Source organism: Homo sapiens, chromosome 6, assembly GCF_000001405.40.
Source record: "Homo sapiens chromosome 6, GRCh38.p14 Primary Assembly".
NCBI lineage: Eukaryota > Metazoa > Chordata > Mammalia > Primates > Hominidae > Homo > Homo sapiens.
The window spans coordinates 152,225,221-152,244,821 of record NC_000006.12 but is presented as its reverse complement, the minus strand read 5'-3'; the positions used below and the strand labels follow the sequence as shown (position 1 = coordinate 152,244,821).

General features: G+C 38.0%; 1 protein-coding gene across 49 annotated transcripts in view; it reads left to right on the top strand.

Moving 5' to 3' along the window:
- The window catches only part of SYNE1 (spectrin repeat containing nuclear envelope protein 1), a 515,676-nt gene that overhangs the window by 392,541 nt on the left and 103,534 nt on the right, over positions 1-19,601 (top strand). For 48 of the 49 annotated variants that reach the window (XM_047418508.1, XM_017010610.2, XM_017010609.2 and 45 more), the window contains 11 exons: positions 166-285; positions 2,382-2,582; positions 5,116-5,289; positions 7,874-8,005; positions 8,519-8,715; positions 10,022-10,154; positions 10,859-11,041; positions 12,557-12,706; positions 13,255-13,431; positions 14,120-14,275; positions 18,946-19,101. In XM_047418508.1, the coding sequence (XP_047274464.1) occupies positions 166-285; positions 2,382-2,582; positions 5,116-5,289; positions 7,874-8,005; positions 8,519-8,715; positions 10,022-10,154; positions 10,859-11,041; positions 12,557-12,706; positions 13,255-13,431; positions 14,120-14,275; positions 18,946-19,101 (1,779 nt within the window). Of the gene's footprint in view, positions 1-165; positions 321-2,381; positions 2,583-5,115; positions 5,290-7,873; positions 8,006-8,518; positions 8,716-10,021; positions 10,155-10,858; positions 11,042-12,556; positions 12,707-13,254; positions 13,432-14,119; positions 14,276-18,945; positions 19,102-19,601 lie in introns of those variants that run through there. The other variant, XM_047418513.1, reaches the window with a different exon arrangement.

Here is a 19,601-nt window from a genome sequence, read left to right as displayed (position 1 = left end):
CCTCTGAACATGGCTTTCGATTTGTTTTATTGAAATGATTCCTTTTGTATATATTGAGAATGTTTTACATGGAGAGGAGGAACACAGAAAGAGATACAATAATCACATCTTCCGTGGGGAAATTGTTCATGGGAGTTTTAATAAAATGTCATGGATCTTACTTAGGCAATACAACAGGCTGAAGATGGACTCAAAGAATTTGATGCAGGAATCATTGAATTAAAGAGGCGTGGTGACAAGCTACAGGTCGAGCAGCCGTCCATGCAAGAACTCTCCAAGCTCCAGGTGCAGCCTTCAGCCAGTAGTATTCAGCTGCAGGGGTACATCAAACTTGAAGTCTAGAAAAAATCACTTTATTTTTCTTGGCTTTCTTTATAAAATTCACGCCACTTAGGTCCTAACCTTTCTACCAAGCAACTCTTAGAAAATTTTCTGAAGCTTAACATGTTTAGTACAAGGAAATGAGTTGTTTTCATGCTGCTAAGATTCATATGTTTTTCTGACAGTTACTTTATTATTATTCTCATGGTTAAGCATTACAGTATAGTTTAGTTGTAGCATATTATTTTCTACTGTAGAAAATAGAATAACTTTTAATCCTACCTAGAAAAATTTAAAAAAGGGATATCTACCCTCGTATTGCACTATGTCTTCAAATACTATTTTAAAAAGCAAATAATCAAAGTAATACTTTGTAGAAAGTGTTTTTTTCTAAGGCAAGCACTATAGTTTATCCTCCATATATGTTTGAATGGAATAGAGACATTGTTTCAATTCTAGAACAACAACAACAAAAATTAAACTAGAAGGTAGTTGAAATCTAAACAGACTTCCTATCATCCTTCAGGAACAGAGAATAATGCTTTGGGTTAATTTCCTTTGCTAGATCTGACATTTAGGCAAGAATCTGATATTGGGGTAGGAAGAAGATCCTTGGATATTAGACCAACAAAATTTAGCATCAACTAGGCAAGCAGTTATGTTCGATCAAGAAAAAATTGTGTACAACTGTGTACAGTCACACAGACACACATGTTAGATTTTCTCTGTGTGCAGAACTATTGAGAACTGGTAACCTCAGTCCAGTACAGGGTTGTGAGTTCTTTCTTTGAGAAAATAAAATAGACCTTATAAACAAAAGAACATTTTTATTTTAACTGTATCTGTCCTTTATCTAACATTTCATAATATCATAAGCCCACCTCCCCCACTTTGTACTTTTTTAGACAGTTTTCCGACAGCACTTAAGCATCAGGTGTAAGAGTCAAATGTCATTGCCGTAAATAGGCATTAAAATTGAACTCTTCCAGATTGAACCATTTTGGCCTGCTAAACCTTAATGTGATATGTTAATCAGGTCCGTATGCCTCAAATAAATTTTGTGTTTGGTGTGTCATCATCTCCTAAAATGTCTTTCCAGTTTAAATAGTTATATACTCCACCACATTTGGCAAAAATATTGCCTTCTTAAGTTTGAAACTCTTTCTGCTCACATTAAACTCCCCTATTTCTCTAGCTCTTTGTTTGAGGGGTAGTCCCAAATATGATTGTTATTTAGCAGGAAAATGTTAAGGATATTATATTCAATTGCTCTGAAATTATATGAATGTTGAGAATACTATAAAAATGGGAATTACATTTTCTATGACATGTCCCTCAGCCACATGGACAGTTTTTCAACAGTTTTACCCCACATCTTATCATAAACTATTGATATCCTGAGAAAACAGTTGTCAAATCTACCTCATGTATCATTTCTAGGAAACACTTTTACATGTCCTTTAAAATCTTAAAATATTAACCTTATTTTTTATAGACATATCTTTATTTCCTTTCATATTTTAACTTATTAAATTTTTATTTTGTAATCAATCTAAATTGCATTTTGATATGTGGCATGAGATAAGACTTTATTTTTCTTCAAAGAGTTGAGTTGTTTCCACATTATTTATTGAATATTTATTTTATCCTTTCAGTGACTTCATACTTACATTTTTATGAATTCAGTTTTTTTTCAGTTTCTCCGTTGTGCTTTATTGTCCGTTAGAAATAAAATAAAATTTAAAACAGCAAGATAAGAATACCAAATAAGATTAATGAAAGAACTTGAACCACCAGGTATCAAGACACAGTAAAGTCACAACGAATATCATAGGCATGAGAATAGAGGTCCAAAGGTCATTTCTTTGTGAAACATGTTTTCAAAGTAAGGCTCATAGAAAGACAAGCAGATGGCCTACAGGTAGAGCGTTTCCAGGAGGCACATCCCTGAAGGCATTTTCTTGGTTGGGTCTCGGGCTTGGTGCGTTCATAGTTCATATGCTTTTAGAGGGTTGCCAGAATATGAATTGAGAGTGAGTCTTGTGGTCTCTGCTTCTTAGGACATGTATGATGAGCTGATGATGATCATTGGCTCCCGGAGGAGTGGTCTGAATCAGAACCTTACACTCAAGAGTCAGTATGAGAGGGCCCTACAAGATCTGGCTGACCTGCTAGAAACTGGTCAGGAGAAGATGGCAGGAGACCAGAAAATCATCGTGTCTTCCAAAGAGGAAATCCAGCAACTACTTGACAAACATAAGGTACATAACAAAAAAGAGTGATAGAGAGAAAATGTAATTGGAAAGCATGCTCTCAAACCCTGATATATATTTAGTAAAACCTAATATTCTCAGTCTTTTATGAGTTCTTACTTGTATAAGTTATTCTTTAAAAATGGCCAAAAAATTTATATTCAAACCCACTGGCTTTCAGTAGCACAGAGAAATTATAGGGGATATGTTTCTATAATGTTGTAAATTAAAAAAGAAAACCAACTTACCTGTAATTTTACCTATCAGTTCCTCACTAGTATTAGCCAGGCTTTCTCCCTAGATGAGCTAAAATCAAAGGAAAACTCAGAGCCTCTCTTCAAAGGAGCCCATCTTCATTCTTAACTCCACTTTTCCCTGTGTTTCCTTTTTGCCCATTTGTCCACCTGGTCCCAGTTACCCTCTTTGCCCTCCCTTGTCCTCGTCAAGGACTCCTCGCTCACTCCTTGCTCTCCTCTAGAAATGCAGAGCTGACTACTCAGATCCAGGGTTGGGTTGGTGTCTTTTACATGCATTGTTTAGATCCTCTGACCCTTACACATATGCTCCTCTAGTTGCTGTAGACTTCAGACTTTCTCCCTGGGAACAGCAAGGCCGTTTACTATGTAATCAAACTTGGGAGGCCCGAAATCACTCCATCATTGTGTGCCACAGCCAAGCTCAGGTTGGACACTACTCCATGGTAGAAGAATGCGTATTTCACACACACACACACACACACACACACACAGCTCTTGCATTATTGGCAATGATTACGAAAGCAATTTTGCCAGTCCAGAAACCCAGCCTTCTAGACTATGGGAATTTCCTGTAGGGAAACTAAAAAAATCCCATTGGGTTATAGAAGTTTAAAATCTTCTACCATTGTGTAGCTCTCTGGTGGCTTGTAAAGGTGGGTTTTTTTTGTCTTTTTCAAATTGTCGTTCCTATTTTTTCCCAGACGTTTTTGTCCAAAGCTTCATGATTTATTAAAACCTTATCATTTGGCTTTGAAAACATTGCTTTAAAGTCCACAGCTGGTGTTTCTCACGTTGTTGACCATAGCAATAAAAGATCATTCTGAGTTATTCCAGAGGGGAAACTAGGATCAATGAGTATAAATAACAGGGAAATAAACCTCAATAGAAAAAGAACTATAAAAGGAGTAAGCTGCCATTGAGCAGACAGCCCTTCTGGCCATGAGAAGTCCAGCCAAGGCTTTTAGGGGAGATGGGCTTGTAAAAGGAATCTCAGCTTTCATTGCATGTTGGGCTAGATGAACTTCAAAGTCTCCTCCAACTTTAGGACTCTGATTTGGTAATTGTTGGTTAAAAATAATGATTCTAGCTTCTACTCACCAGCCCATTTTCTGAGGGAGAGTTCTGCAGTGCTGGTGAGAAGCACAGATAAAGCCACACTGCCCTTGGGTTTGAACCCCAAGCTCTGCCGTGACTAGCTATGTGACCTTGGGCAAGCTACATAGACTGGGGGGACTCAGTGTTCTCATCTGTAAAACTGGAAACAAAACTGCCTATCTCATAGAGTTATAGAGTTGTTAGGAGGATGAGATGAGTCAGATAAAGTATTTATGGAGTGCCTAGCAAACAGTAAGCACATAATTAATGTTAACTGTCATTATCAGTTGCCAGCTCTTCCATTTTATCATGGTACTGGGAACAGGAAATGAGATAAGCTCAATCTCCATTCTCCAGGGTCTATTATACACAAACGGTAACATTTCAAAAACATTAGTAGGATGGCGCAAGGCCTACAGTTATGTTATGTGTAGGTATAATACAAGGAAAGCAAATTTATAATATCAATCAGTGCATATAAAGCTGTGCTTGACAACATGGAATGAGCACGCAAATATCCTAGAAGTTCAGAAAGTAGAGCCCAAGCCCAGCCATGGAGGAAGGAAAGCAATGTTTTTTGTTTGTTTGTTTGTTTGTTTGTTTTGAGATGGAGTCTCCAACCAGAGCTCCAACTGTCCTGGCAAAGAAAAACTCAGAGCCTGTCTTCAAAGGAGCCCACCTTCGTTCTTACCTCTACCTTTCCCTGTGTTTCCTTTTTGCCCCTTTGTACACCTGGTCCTAGTTGCTCCCTCTGCCCTCCCTTGTCCTGGTCAAGGACTCCTCGCGCACTCCTCACTCTCCTCTAGAAATGCAGAGCTGTCTACTCAGCTCCAGCGCTGGGTTGGTGTGAACTCCTCTCCACCCAGGCTGGAGTGCAGTGGCACGATCTTGGCTCACTGCAACCTCGGCCTCCCAGGTTCAAGCGATTCTTGTGCCTCAGCCTCCTGAGTAGCTAGGATTACAGGCACACACCAGCATGCCCGGCTGATTTTTGTATTTTTAGTAGAAACGGATTCCACCACATTGGCCAGGCTGGTCTTGAGCTCTTGACCTCAGGTAATCCACCCACTTCAGCCTCCCCAACTGTTGGGATTACAGGCGTGAGCCACCGCACCCGGCCCTAAACCAATTTTGATTCTAACATAATATATGAATGAGTTGCTGACTTCTTTCTTCCTGAAAAATTGCAGGAATACTTTCAGGGCCTGGAATCTCATATGATCTTGACTGAAACACTCTTCAGAAAGATAATCAGCTTTGCAGTCCAAAAGGAAACCCAGTTCCATACAGAGCTGATGGCTCAGGCTTCTGCTGTACTGAAACGGGCTCACAAGAGGGGTGTGGAGCTGGAGTACATTCTAGAGGTGAGACCATTGATGTCATATCTTCTGTGCTGCAAACTTCCTGCTGCAAAATAGACCTTTAATGCAAGATGTATCTATCCATGCAGTTTGCCTCACATAACCTCAGAACTAGCTGCGCTCTCGGGCTCAGGACTGCACTTTTCCTATGGTTCTGTGTTGCTTATTCCCCCTGTGTTTTCTGTGTACATTGGGCTATCTGCTGTGCCATGTCGAAAGTAAGATAGATACACACTGACTTCAGACTATGCATGAAGATATTTGGGGTTTTGATATTCAGACTGATAGCTTACTTAAGAGTATGAAAAATGTAGAAATAGGCCAGGTGCAGTGGCTCACACCTGTCATCCCAGCACTTTGGGAGGCTGAGGCGGGTGGATCACTTGAGGTCAGGAGTTCGAGACCAGCCTGGCCAACATGATGAAACAAACCAACATGTTGAAACCCCGTCTCTACTAAAAATACAAAAAATTAGCCGGACGTCGTCGTGGGTGCCTGTAATCTCAGCTACTTGGGAGGCTGAGGCAGGAGAATCACTTGAACCGGGAGGCAGTGGTTGCAGTGAGCCAAGGTCACACCATTGCACTCCAGCCTGGGCAACGGGAGTAAAACTCTGTCTCAAAAAAAAAAAAAAATGAAAGTAAAATGTAGAAATATTTTTTTCTGTCCCAAATGCGGTTGCTCTTGGAACAGAGTAGTGCTCAGTGGTGGCTACTGGCAAGCTATAGAACCCCGTGGAAATGTAGGACATTATTGATGGAACAGTCCCCTTTCTTTCTTCAGTAACTGTACCAGTTGCCCTAAACTGTTCCTGCTTTCTCATTCTTCCTCTTTCCCTTGGAAGTTTTAGAGATTATAATCTCTCTCCCCTTTGTGGACTTCCCCACCCACTCCCACAATATTACTGATCTTAACTGGGTTGCCTGCAGGTCGTATTTGCATTTTTTCTAAATGGGATTTTCCCTGGGCCAACATTTTCATAGGTAGCTAACCCCCAAATCCCAGATGTGGAATTCCCTGATGTGGAATTCCCTATATTTTGGAGAGACATCTACCTTTAACGTTTGAAATCTCTGTAATAATAGTTACACTTTATTGACATGTCAGGTCCCTGGCAAGACTTCTTACATTTACATGAATCCATCTCATCTTTATCATAACCCTTTGAGATAGAATTTTGAATCCCTGTTTCAGCAATGAGTCTGGGAGCAACTGTTTGCCAAGACACGTGGTTAATTGGTGGCAAAGTCAGAGATCACACCTTCATCTGTCTGACTTCACGACCTGAAATGTGTGTTTCTCCATGAAACTTACCTGATGACACCATTTAAATTGTAGCCCCACCAGGCACACACCTGGGCACTCCCTCCCACCCCTACCCAGTTCTGTTTTATTCTTCCACAGCACAAGAACTCTATTATACCATACAACTTATTGTTTGTTTTTGGTTTATTGTTTATTATTGATTGCCTGTCTCTCCTCACTAGAAGGCCTGGGTTTGTGTCTGTTTTATTTACTCCCAGATCCCTAGGCATTGAAAATACCAGGCAATAGATATTTGGTAAGTGTATTTAAAAAGCATGGGTTTCTACTACTGTGCCCTGTTGCCACTCCAACTGCACAGTGAAGTGAGCATACTCACACTGAGAAACTGCTGACCCACAGCGTAAATTACTGGAAAAGACTTCAACTGATCTTTTAAAAAGTGTTTTCCAGTTTTAAATAAAATAAAAGTCTGAACTTAGGAATAAGTGATGTGGTATTTTTCTTTAACAGAATATATAAACTATATATTCATATTTATAGATATGTTTCATATGCAAATGTAATTGATTTGTTTACTCGTTACATGAAAGGCAAACATCCCCATCCTTTTGACTTAAATCCTTACTGTGGTAAAGAATAAAACCATACATACCTGGGCTAGATGTGGTGGCTCATGCCTGTAATCCCAGCACTTTGGGAGGCTGAAGCAGGAGGATCTTTTGATACCAGGAGTTTGAGACCAGGCTGGACAACATAGTGAGACCCCCATCTCTACAAAAAAATTTTTTTTAAGTTAGCCTGGTGTGGTGGAATGCGCCTGTGGTCCCAGCTACTTGGGAGGATGAAGCAGGAGGATCCCTTGAGCCCAGGAGTTCGAGTCTACAGTGATCCATGATTGTGCCACTGTACTCCAGCCTGGGCAACAGAGTGAGAGCCTATCTAAAAAAAAAAAAAAAAAAAAAAGTGCATACCCAATAGAAGGTACACTGCATACATTATTCCATTTAATCCTCATGATGGAGAAGATAGCTATTATTATCCCCATTGTAACGTATGGAAAAGAGGTACAGAGTTTAGTAGCTTACTCACAGTTGTAAAGGGGCTTAGTGGCAGATTCCAGAGCCCATTCACAATGCTTTCAAGGGTCACCATTTGATTACTTGCTTTAAAGCCATCTTTTGCTTCCCAAAGCAAGGCCCAACGCAAACATCTCTGATATAACTTTAAGGAGAGACTGTCAGGCACGTATTTTGCACCCAAGGAAGAATGTCTTTCGCTAATGAGGGTTTTTTTAGCTCACAGACTCATGTTGTGTTTCTAGACGTGGTCCCATCTGGATGAGGACCAGCAGGAGCTCAGCAGACAGCTGGAGGTGGTGGAAAGCAGCATCCCAAGCGTGGGTCTGGTGGAGGAGAACGAGGACAGGCTTATTGACCGCATAACACTCTACCAGGTTGGTGTTACAAGCCGCCACATTGCCTTTAGAAACTTACCAATAGTTTTAACAGAATGTAAACAAACTTGTGATCAATTATTTTATTAGTACTTTTACTTTTCTTTCAAGTTATTGACATTGAAAGGAGATAATGTTTCTGTTATTTATAGTTGGACATTATTAAAAGTCTTTCTTTTTTCTTTTTTTTACTGAGAGCTCTTTTTGAAAATTCAGCCTCCACCAAGCATTTTCTGTAGTTTATGCTGATGCCACACAATTCTTGAAATAATAATTTGACAGTTTTAAATCCACCTAAAGTCATTACCAAAAAAAAAATAATAAACAACAAAAGGAGACTGTCTATACTTAAATATAGATGAAACATCTTAAAGTTTTCAATGTTACTTGAGTGAGTATAGTTTAAGTTTGAATAACAGGTAATGGGAACATTGTAGGTACCAGAGAAATTATAATTCTTAAAGACAAAAATTGCATATCCAAACTTTTAACTCAATAATTTCAATATTTTAGCATTTAAAATCTAGCCTTAATGAATACCAGCCCAAATTATATCAAGTATTAGATGATGGGAAACGACTTCTGATATCCATCAGCTGCTCAGATCTAGAAAGCCAACTAAATCAACTTGGAGAGTGCTGGCTAAGTAACACCAATAAAATGTCTAAGGAACTTCACAGACTGGAAACAATATTGAAACACTGGACCAGGTAATACAATGACTGTTTTGTATATTTTTAGATAAGTGCTGCATTGTATTAATAAGGCTAGTGCGGGTGGGGGATGATGGCTCAAACCTATAATCTCATTACTTGGGTGGCCAATACGGGAGGACTGCTTGAGGCCAGGAGTTCAAGACCAGCCTGGGCAACATAGTAAGACCCCAATCTCTACAAAAAAATTACAAAAGGACTAGGTATGGTGGCACATGCCTGTGGTCCCTGCTATTGGAGAGGCTGAAGTGGGAGGATTGCTTCAGCCTGGGAGGTTGAGGCTGCAGTGAGCCATGATCATGCTACTGTACTCCAGCCTGGGCAATAGAGTGAGACTGTGTCTCAAAAATAAATAAATAAATAAGGCAAGTAGATATTCACTTGAAAGTGACATGGCTCCTCTAGAAACGTATTGTATAGTTTGGAAAATAAAGATAAGCAGAGGCCAGGTGCAGTGGCTCACGCCTGTAATCCCAACACTTTGGGAGGCTGAGGCGGGCAGATCCCCTGAGGTCAGGAGTTCGAGACCAGCCTGACCAACATGGAGAAACCCCATTTCTACTAAAAATACAAAATTAGCCAGGCGTGGTGGTGCATGCCTGTAATCCCAGCTGCTCAGGAGGCTGAGGCAGGAGAATCGCTTGAACCCGGGAAGGGGAGGTTGCAGTGAGCCAAGATTGCGCCATTGCACTCCAGCCTGGGCAACAAGAGCGAAACTCCATCTCAAAAACAAAAGAAAAGTAGAAAGTCCCCACTTGGATTCTTGTATACTCATATAAACATATAATTAGAAGTGAGCAGGGAGGCAGATGCATAAGGCACCTTACCTTTGAGTTTCACCCTCCCTTGCCTAATCACTGTGTCTGAGATATCACAGTAAAGCCTGAGAGGGAGAGAAAGAGAAAACATGGATTGAGAAGCAGAAGCTTCTCAAGGGCAATGGGAAGCATTCAGCGGGGTGGAGGGTTGATTTTTACATAATGACATAGTCTGTGTCTAAGCCGCCTTTATTTCAAAGGACTTTTTGTAACCATCATCTAATATTTTCTAAGTAGCATCAATGTGAAAGAGTAGGGGAAAGGTATTTTTATACCCAGCTTAAAGACAGGCCAGCGGAAACCCAGAGAGACAGGCTTGATAAAGGTATCAATATGAAGAAAATTTCAGAGTGCCAACCTCATGCATTTTTCTTCTAAATCTTCAGACCTCTCGTTTTAAAACTGTTGGCATTGGTGAGTAACGTAGGTGAGTAGAAGATAGGGATGAAATGTTTACTTAATGGACTCCATAATATACTTAACAGATATCAAAGTGAATCTGCAGATCTAATTCACTGGTTACAATCTGCAAAAGACCGGCTAGAATTTTGGACTCAGCAATCTGTGACAGTCCCACAAGAGCTGGAAATGGTCCGTGATCATCTAAATGCTTTCCTGGTAAGTCTAAGAATCTAAAGCATTTGATTCAGGCCTATAAGTTAGGCCTGACCCATACACCAGTAGAAAAGAAGTCAGGCCGGGTGCGGTGGCTCACACCTGTAATCCCACACTTTGGGAGGCCAAGCAGTCAGATCACGAGGTCAGGAGTTCGGGACCAGCCTGACCAACATGGTGAAACCCTGTCTCTACTAAAAATACAAATATTAGCCGGGCGTGGTAGTGCATGCCTATAATCCCAGCTACTCAGGAGGCTGAGGCAGGAGAATCGCTTGAACCCGGAAGGCAGAGATTGCAGCGAGCTGAGATTGTGCCACTGCACTCCAGCCTGGGCAACAGAGCGAGCGACTCCATCTAAAAAGAAAAAAAGAAAAGAAAAGAAAGGAAGTCAACCATCAGTGGATATACTTAATAAACTAAGCTATAGAGAATATATTAATGTTGACTATGTGTGTTCCATAATTATGCAAAGTAATAGGGCTCAGTGACTCAACACTGCCTCTTACAAGTAGTTCTCAAGTCGGGGCTTCGTAGTTTCCTTTCATTCGAGGGCAAGGGTGTACTGCTTTCATTTTCTTTTGAGTGTTCAGCATAACCCCCTCCAGGATGTAAAGGAAATTGTTTCATGCACTAAATTGGTCGCTTTCCTTTTAATGAATGGTCTAGCTATTTAACCCTAATTTGAACATCGCTACTTGTTTCAGGAGTTTTCTAAAGAAGTGGATGCCCAATCTTCCCTGAAATCATCTGTTCTGAGTACTGGAAATCAGCTCCTTCGACTAAAAAAGGTGGACACAGCCACGCTGCGCTCTGAGCTGTCGCGCATTGATAGCCAGTGGACTGACCTGCTAACCAATATCCCAGCCGTCCAGGAGAAGCTCCACCAGGTACAGAAAGGATTGCTTTCGTGGGAAATAGCTGACTTAAGCTATTTGACATGGAGAAATACATTAATTTGCTTTTGCTCACAAATTTATATCAGCTTTGTCCCAGACACCTGGCCTCTTCTCTCTCCCGTTGTATTAATATTAAGAGTGAACTCTGGCCGGGCGCGGTGGCTCGCACCTGTAATCCTAGCACTTAGGGAGGCTGAGGAGGGTGGATTGCCTGAGCTCAGGAGTTCAAGACCAGCCTGGGCAACACGGTGAAACCCCGTCTCTACTAAAATACAAAAAATTAGCCTGGCGTGGCGGTGTGCGCCTGTAGTCCCAGCTACTCGGGAGGCTGAGGCAGCAGAATTGTTTGAACTGGGGAGGCAGATGGAGTGAGCCGAGATCGCGCCACTGCACTCCAGCCTGGGTGACAGTGAGACTGTCTCCAGAAAAAAAAAAAAGAGTGAACTACGCTACAAAGCCCTGCCCCAAAGGCATTTCCTCTGAGGGTTTCTTTAATGTGTGTATGTGGGTGTGGGTATGTGTATTGGAATGTTTGTCTGGCTTTGTTTAAACTCTGTTTTGTCTCAGATAAAATGTGGACAGTTACATACACTTTTCTCATAAAGTGAGTGGTTATGAAGATTTAGAACGTAATATATGTTAAAAATATCTTATGTATAGGAGAGCAACTGGCATTCAGTAGATGTAAATAATCCTCTTATCTGAAAATACACCCACCTCCCCTGAAATCCCAGAACATTTTATCTTTATCTCTCTTTGACACTCATCACTGTGTTTCAGGCAGGATAGCTGTGTTTTGTGTACATGCCTAATCTCTCCTAAGCAACAGCTGTGCGCCCCCAGAGGGCAGGAACCAACCCACGTTCATTGCTATATCTTTCAGCACCACACAGAAGTTGATATACAAAGATTTTAAATGATTGCTTTTGTTCCTCCAAATCATCGTAATACACATATGCATAAATGTGTGATATGTTAAGTAAGATTTCGAATTGTAAGTAGTGTATATCAGCTAAGGGCTGAGGAAATTGGCTATGTTCTTAGGAATAAAGATTAGAGTGCCAAAAACTCTAGAAAATGATAGCTTGTAGTGTGGTATTTTTCTTTCTTCTTTTAACATTCCTGAGTCATAATATGCAGAGATTTTACAAGATAATTAATAAAATACATCTGTTGAATGTTTTCTGGTTAAGTTTTTTTAGACTCATAAAACTAGTTATAAAATAAGAATAATATTCTCTTCTTTCTGGTGCTTTGATTAATTAGTTAATGTTTATACAGTGTTTACAGTATTGGATATCAAGTGAACATAAAATGACTATTATTCCTCAACATTTGCCTGATGTTTAACTTCAAGCTTTCAGAAAGGGTAAGATCTCCAAATGTCATTAAGGAGTGTTATCTCTCTTGGTACATTTTTAAGAATTATTGTAGGGTTTTTAAGTTAGCAGAAGTTGGGGTTTCCATTTTAACACTTGGGACTGGTTCTCTCCCTGACTTGGACAGCTCCAGATGGATAAACTGCCTTCCCGCCATGCCATTTCTGAAGTCATGAGTTGGATTTCTCTAATGGAAAATGTTATTCAGAAGGATGAAGATAATATTAAAAATTCCATAGGTTACAAGGCAATTCATGAATACCTTCAGAAATATAAGGTAATTAAAATTTTTTGTTTTTAACTTTTCATATTTTCAGACCATTTTATTTGAAAGAACTAAAAAACTCAAATTATGGTAATCAAGTCTTGGAATGTATGTTTCCTACACAGTGACCAGATAGGAATTCAATAGCAAGAAAAATGCATTATCAGTTATAGAAATAAGAAGAAATATCCAGTACTAGGAATGATTTTGAATAATTTTGTGTTATTAAAGAATTACAGAAATTATAAAAATAAATTTATAAATATTTTATAGTGAGGTTATATAATTTATCTAGTTCTAAATCTTCTACCTAAATATATATATACACACACACACACACACATACACACGTATATCTGTGTTTATGTTCATATAAACGTATACAAATATATATTCGGCTTCTAAAAATAATGGGTTGTGTGAACACAGACAAATTGTGCCATTTCAGCTGAGTTATGGAAGTGATAATATTAATATTAAGGTTACTTAAGGCTTTCCAACTCCTGGAAAACTAATGAGACATTTATTGTATAATCTTATTTTCTCCTCTTTTTTTTTAGGGTTTTAAGATAGACATTAACTGTAAACAGCTGACAGTGGATTTTGTGAACCAGTCCGTGCTACAAATCAGCAGTCAGGATGTGGAAAGTAAGCGTAGTGATAAGACTGATTTTGCTGAGCAACTTGGAGCAATGAATAAAAGTTGGCAAATTCTGCAAGGTCTAGTAACTGAGAAGGTAAGCCAGTGGCTTCCCACTGTCCAGATTTACATGAAAACCCCAAGAACAGGCACACTCTGTAAGGAAGACTGGGTTCACAAGTAGCGTGGCTATACTGGGCAAAGAACGCTTCCAATAATACCGCTGAAGGTTAATCACCCTAAACTTCCTTTAACCTGTTGATGATTTTCTCTTATACATTCTCTGCTCTTTGTATATTTTATGGTGTTTCAGTTTTCTAAAGATGCCTCTTGATTTATTTTGCCTTTGCTTCAAGTTGACTTTAGTCCTTTCTTGCTTCCCAGTAATAGTCATTGATTCATACTTTATGAAATTCATTTATTAAATCAAGCTTGCCCAGCCCGCGGGCTGCATGCGGCCCAGGACGGCCTTGAATGCAGCCCAACACAAATCCGTAAACTTTCTTAAAACATTATGAGATTCTTTTGCAATTTTTTTTTTTTTTAGATCGTCGGCTATTGTTAGTGTTCGTTTATTTTATGTGTGGCTCAAGACAATTCTTCTTCTTCCAGTGTGGCCCAGGGAAGCCAAAAGATTAGACACCCCTGTTTTAAATCATATATACGATGAACTGTATTTTAAGAATTCTTAATTTGGAGAAAATACTGGCTAGAATAATTAGTCTGCTAATGATTTGATTTTATTAAAATAAAGTTGCAAATTTCATTTTATTGTGTTTGTTCAGATCCAGCTGTTGGAAGGCTTATTGGAATCTTGGTCAGAATATGAAAATAATGTACAATGTCTGAAAACATGGTTTGAAACCCAGGAAAAGAGACTAAAACAACAGCATCGAATTGGAGATCAGGCTTCTGTTCAAAATGCACTGAAAGACTGTCAGGTAACTTGTCCAGGTGGCTAACATGCACCATCTCACAATTTCATAGCGTATGCTAATATGTTTATAGGCCTTGAGAGTTGCAAGTTAAATATTTTTTTAAATATTTAAAAGTTGCATTTAGTAACAAATTTTGCTGATTTTGTGAGTTTATAGGGTTTTTTTTAAAATACATTAGGTTTTTTTCACTCGTTTTTAAAAATTTGAAATTATGAAAATTTTCAAACATACTCGTAAGTAGAGAGAAATGCTATGAACCCTGTATACTGAGCATCAGATTTAATAATTGTCAAGATTTGCAGCCTGGGCAACATGGTGAAACCCTCTCTCTACAAAAAGCTACAAAAATCAGCCAGACGTGGTGGTGCTTGTCCCTGTAGTCCCAGCTACTCAGGAGGCTGAGGTGGGAGGATTGCTTGAATTCAGGAGATCGAGGCTGCAGTAAGCCATGTTTACACCATGGCACTTCAGCCTGGGTGACAGAGTGAGACCCTGTTTCCAAGAAAAAAAAAATTGCCTAAATTATTTCTTTTTCTAAAATAGATATCATAGTAAATACCAGACATCATGTCACTTTATTCTTACATACAATATATATCTTTGAAAAATAGACATTTTCTTAATGCATCCATATTATTATCACCACCAAAAGTTTAATAATTTCTAATATTATTTTATGTTCAACGCATAATCCTATTTCCTCGGTTGTCTTTAAAATTTCTTTTATATGTTAACTTATTCAAAATAAGGATGCAAACAATATGCATATGCTACATTTGCTTGTTAGATCTCTTAAATCTTTTGAATATTTTTTTAAGACCATAACCTGTCGCAGAAGCTGTTGATGGGTGCCATGTTCAGGATTGGCCTATGAATGTCCTTAAGATGTTTAATTTGTTCTTCTCTCCTCTGTATGTCCTATAAATGGAAGTTAGCACTAGAGGCTTAGTTGGATTCCCGTTCACCTCCTCTGAACAAGCACTTCACAGTGGAATTCCTATTAATTAATTATTAATAATATCCCATTATTAATTAATAGGAAGTATCCATGTTACTTCCTTTTTTGTCACATGGAGAAGTACACAGAGTGTGCTTGTTCTACTCTGAGGGATGCGGATTGAAAGTTCAGGTGAAGCAGTAACGTTCCAAATGTTTTCCAGTGACTCAGGGACACACAGTCTTTCCACAGGTCTTCTTGTGTGCCCAAAAGAAAAGTGAGCTATTGCAGTTAATACAGTAATAAGATTTTTGAAAATAATTCATGAATTCATATATTGTTACAGATTATGACTGTTCCCTTATAGTGTTTCCTAAAAACAATTGAAAACTAAACAGTGAAGTAATTCTACAGAAAAGCTTCTCTCTGCAAATCTTGTTTTTCTATTTCGGGTTTCAGAAAGAAAGAACTTTGGTAATGATCTCTCTTCCAATCATTATGTTTTCTGTTTGGGACACATATAAAGAGAGGTATATTTAAGCACTTAATCAAAGCTTTTCGGTTCTGAAAAGGAAGAGAAGTGCTGGCTCCCCAGCTAATGGATTACAATTTTGAGACTGCATAAAATTGATAAAGAAAAACATCGTATAGAGAATACCTTGAAGTAATAATAGTTTTTTTATTTAATAAAAAAAAGCCTCACATCAGAAAATGGGTGCTTAAAGACTGAAGATGAAGAACATGCCTCAGCTAGTCTCATTGCATTTCCAACTTTCTAGAGGCCAGTGGTATTTCTGATTTAGGCCATAAATTCAAAAATCTACAAGTAATCCAGAATTTCAGCTCTTTACTTCTGAGGACAAAATGTCATAACTTTTGTTGAGTTCCTAAATTAAAACATATCCATTGATTTTGAAAGGTAATTCTGCGTATTAGAATTAGCAAAGTGAGGACCTTCTGGTTGCATGGTTGTGATAAACTTTACTGTTGAAAGACTGAAATACCACATTAATACCATTTGCATTTTCTTTTATTTTTTCCACTTCTTTTCTTCCATACTTTACTTTTTCTCTCTCTTAGTATTTTTTTCTTCTCTTTAACATAGCTTTTTCTGCCATTTTCCATTTTGTTTCTTCTCCTGTTCATTTCTTCTATTTAACAGGGAGACACCTTACCATCTGGAAAATATAGCAGCAGCTTGACCATGTTTTACCAAGTGTAGGACCTAAGTTTTAGTCTTTCAGAGAGCCAGGTCAGACAGTGTCAGGAGGGAAAGCTTAAAGTGTGGTTGAAAGAACTTTGTACTGATGCCGGTTCATGATTTCAAATGAAAAGTCATATCTTTGAAACAAAAGACAGAATGAAAGTAGCCCATATAATTATTTTGGGACAACGCATATAAATAAATCACAATGGCCTAACTGGAAGGTTCTATTTGGCTATACTACAGGTCTTGATACAACTGTCATTTTTGAGAAATTGTTTTTTGGACCAAAGTGTGAAATTCAAGCCAGTATACTTAAATTGGTGACTGGATTCCAGCTTTATTTTGTTTTAAAAATCTTGAGTATTTTCCCAGTCTTTTATAGGTGATTTATTAATTTAAACCAACATAAAACTGATATTTATGAATTAATCGAAGTTAAGAATGTTTTATTGTTTTTAAAAATGGTAGGTTTGGCCTTTCCCCTTTTTGATCAGAAACAGAATCATCTTTTAATTATTATTGAAAGCAAGGGAAACACACCTTTATTTTTTATAAAATATATATTTCAGCCCTGTTTCCCTCATGGGTTTTGCTCTTCTACCAACATACGTGTGCAGGGCATTTTAGAAATAGTTTCTAAGCAATGGAACATTCATTTAATATTCCTCACTGAGAAAAAGTTAACATCATAGAAAAATGAGGATAAACTCAATTTCTAATTGTTGAATTTTAGAATCATATTAAAGACATATTGGAAGGATTGTTTCTGGTCTTTTAATCTCTTTACAGAAATAGAAAAGTTCTAAATAGTAAATTAATTATATTTCCTATACTACACAAAGGACCTGTAACCCCAGCAATCACTATATTTATTCTCTGGTAATTATCAAAGCTGTCAAAATAGTGACAAAATTATAGAGTGGAAATAAGAGAACAATATGAAAAACAAAAATGATCACTTTAAGCTGCCAAATGCGTGAGTGTCTAACTAATTAACCAAAACAAAAATAGCTTCATGATAATTCAATAGAGAAAAATAAATAAATTTGCACTGAAACATGGCACATTGCCAAATGGCTAAACATAATAATATCTTGCATTTAGCTACTTTTTGACAGCTTAAAATATATTTTATATATATTTACCTAATTTTATCTCCTTGGAGTAAGGAGAAAATGTCTTATTATTACTATTTTAAAAATGAGGTAGAGAGAGATTAACAAGTTGAACCATAATAGAAACAGAAATAAAAGAGGCAAAAATTATTTTTAAAGAGGCATGACATTTGAAATTAATATAACAGAGACTGGACTCCTCATTAACACCTTATCAGCAGCACTATCCAATTTCAATCTTATTACTCATGTATGGATCATGAGGGGGGTGAAAATATTTTTTATACAATTGAGGTGTTATCCAAAGTTAAAGTATTTGGGAATTTTCTCCATTCGAATCTCCAAGAACTACAAATCTGCTTTTAGTTCTGAGGGTATACTTCTGAATATGGGACTGTAACCATGCCTTAATGCCTGGCTTTTCATATCACCCCAACATGGGATTTATATTCCCTCCACAGTCTGAGGTTCAGCCGACTCCTTCTGGCATCAGGCTGGGAGTCCATAGGCTCCAAAGACTGGGTTCTAATCCCCACTCCATCCCTCACCAGCTCTTTTACCCAAGACAGGTCGGATGACTTGATCTTCAATTTATTTATTTATAAAATGTTGATAGCAGTCTCAGTCTGCTTCACTGAGCTTCTCAAATTTTCAGATGGCATTAAAATAGAAATTAGGGTTATGATACAGGTTCAGTATGAGCTCCAGATCTTTTCTTCATTTTGCTTTTCATTCTTGAACATTTTATACTGACAATTATGAATGCATATCCCAAATAAAATGAGGATTTGATTCATCAAAGAAGCCTGAAGCCTTTCAGAATCACATAGAATTCAGAGTATTTTAGAGAGAGAGGATCATACAGATGATCTTTTCCCATCTGAAGTCAGTCTTCTGATTTCCCATCTGAAGAAACTGAGACCCAGTAGAAATTTCTCACCTACCCAAAGTGACTCAGCTTTGGGTAGGTGAGTAGTAGAAATGTGACTAAATCTCAGATACTAGGGCCCAGAATACCACATTCGATCACATTTCTTCCTATGAGGTAGGCAGCGTAACTTTTTGAATACCAACATATATGAACTTAATAATATAAATAATATTACAGTTTCTGACATGTATTTCTTTCCTCACAGCCTCTTGAGAAAATTACATAGTACCATTTCCTTATCTGGTAGAATATCAAATTTTACTTTTTTAAAGTTATGCTAATTTGCCATGTGTAAAAAGATGACTTTTTTTTTGCATTTGAGTGTAGGAAGAAGTACTTCTGCAGCGTGCCTCTTCTGAAAGAGATAAGCTTTTTGGATTAGTAAAAGGTTTTTAGGACATGAAACTATAATGGCCCAATTTCAGTGCACCCCAGAGTTCCATAATAGAACAATTTAAAGTGACTATTTTTTAAATCTTTCAGGATCTGGAAGATTTGATTAAAGCAAAAGAAAAAGAAGTAGAGAAAATTGAGCAGAATGGACTTGCTTTGATTCAGAACAAGAAAGAAGACGTCTCTAGCATTGTCATGAGCACACTGCGAGAGCTCGGCCAAACCTGGGCAAATTTAGATCACATGGTAATATTGCTCACAGAAAGCCAGCTCCAGGACCGTGTTTGCCAGCTCTGTCCAAACTCTGGGTTTTGGTTTTCCTAAAGTAGCAGAGGAAATAATCAAATCTATACATTATCTCCTTGTACTTTTAAGTCCACTTCGTTATCCTCTTTTTTTTTTTTAAAGTCTAGTTTCTGGTGTTTTCTAGAATAAGCCTTTATTTTAAACATTACTCTCTTAATGATCTCATCCATTCCCATGGCAATAGATCATTCTCAAACATCTGTCTCCAGCCTGGCAAAAGATATACAAAGTGGATATCTGTATCTAAGTGATGCAAACCAAGCTAAACACTTTTCTGACAGAGATAAATAATTATGAGGAAGGAATATCTTAGATGTTTTGTCTTAAGATATTTATCTGAGTGTGTGTGTGTGTGTGCGTGTGTGTGTGTGTGTGTGTGTTTGCGCATATGTGAGATAGATATGGATATTGTTATAGCTATAGATAGATTTCACTTTCTG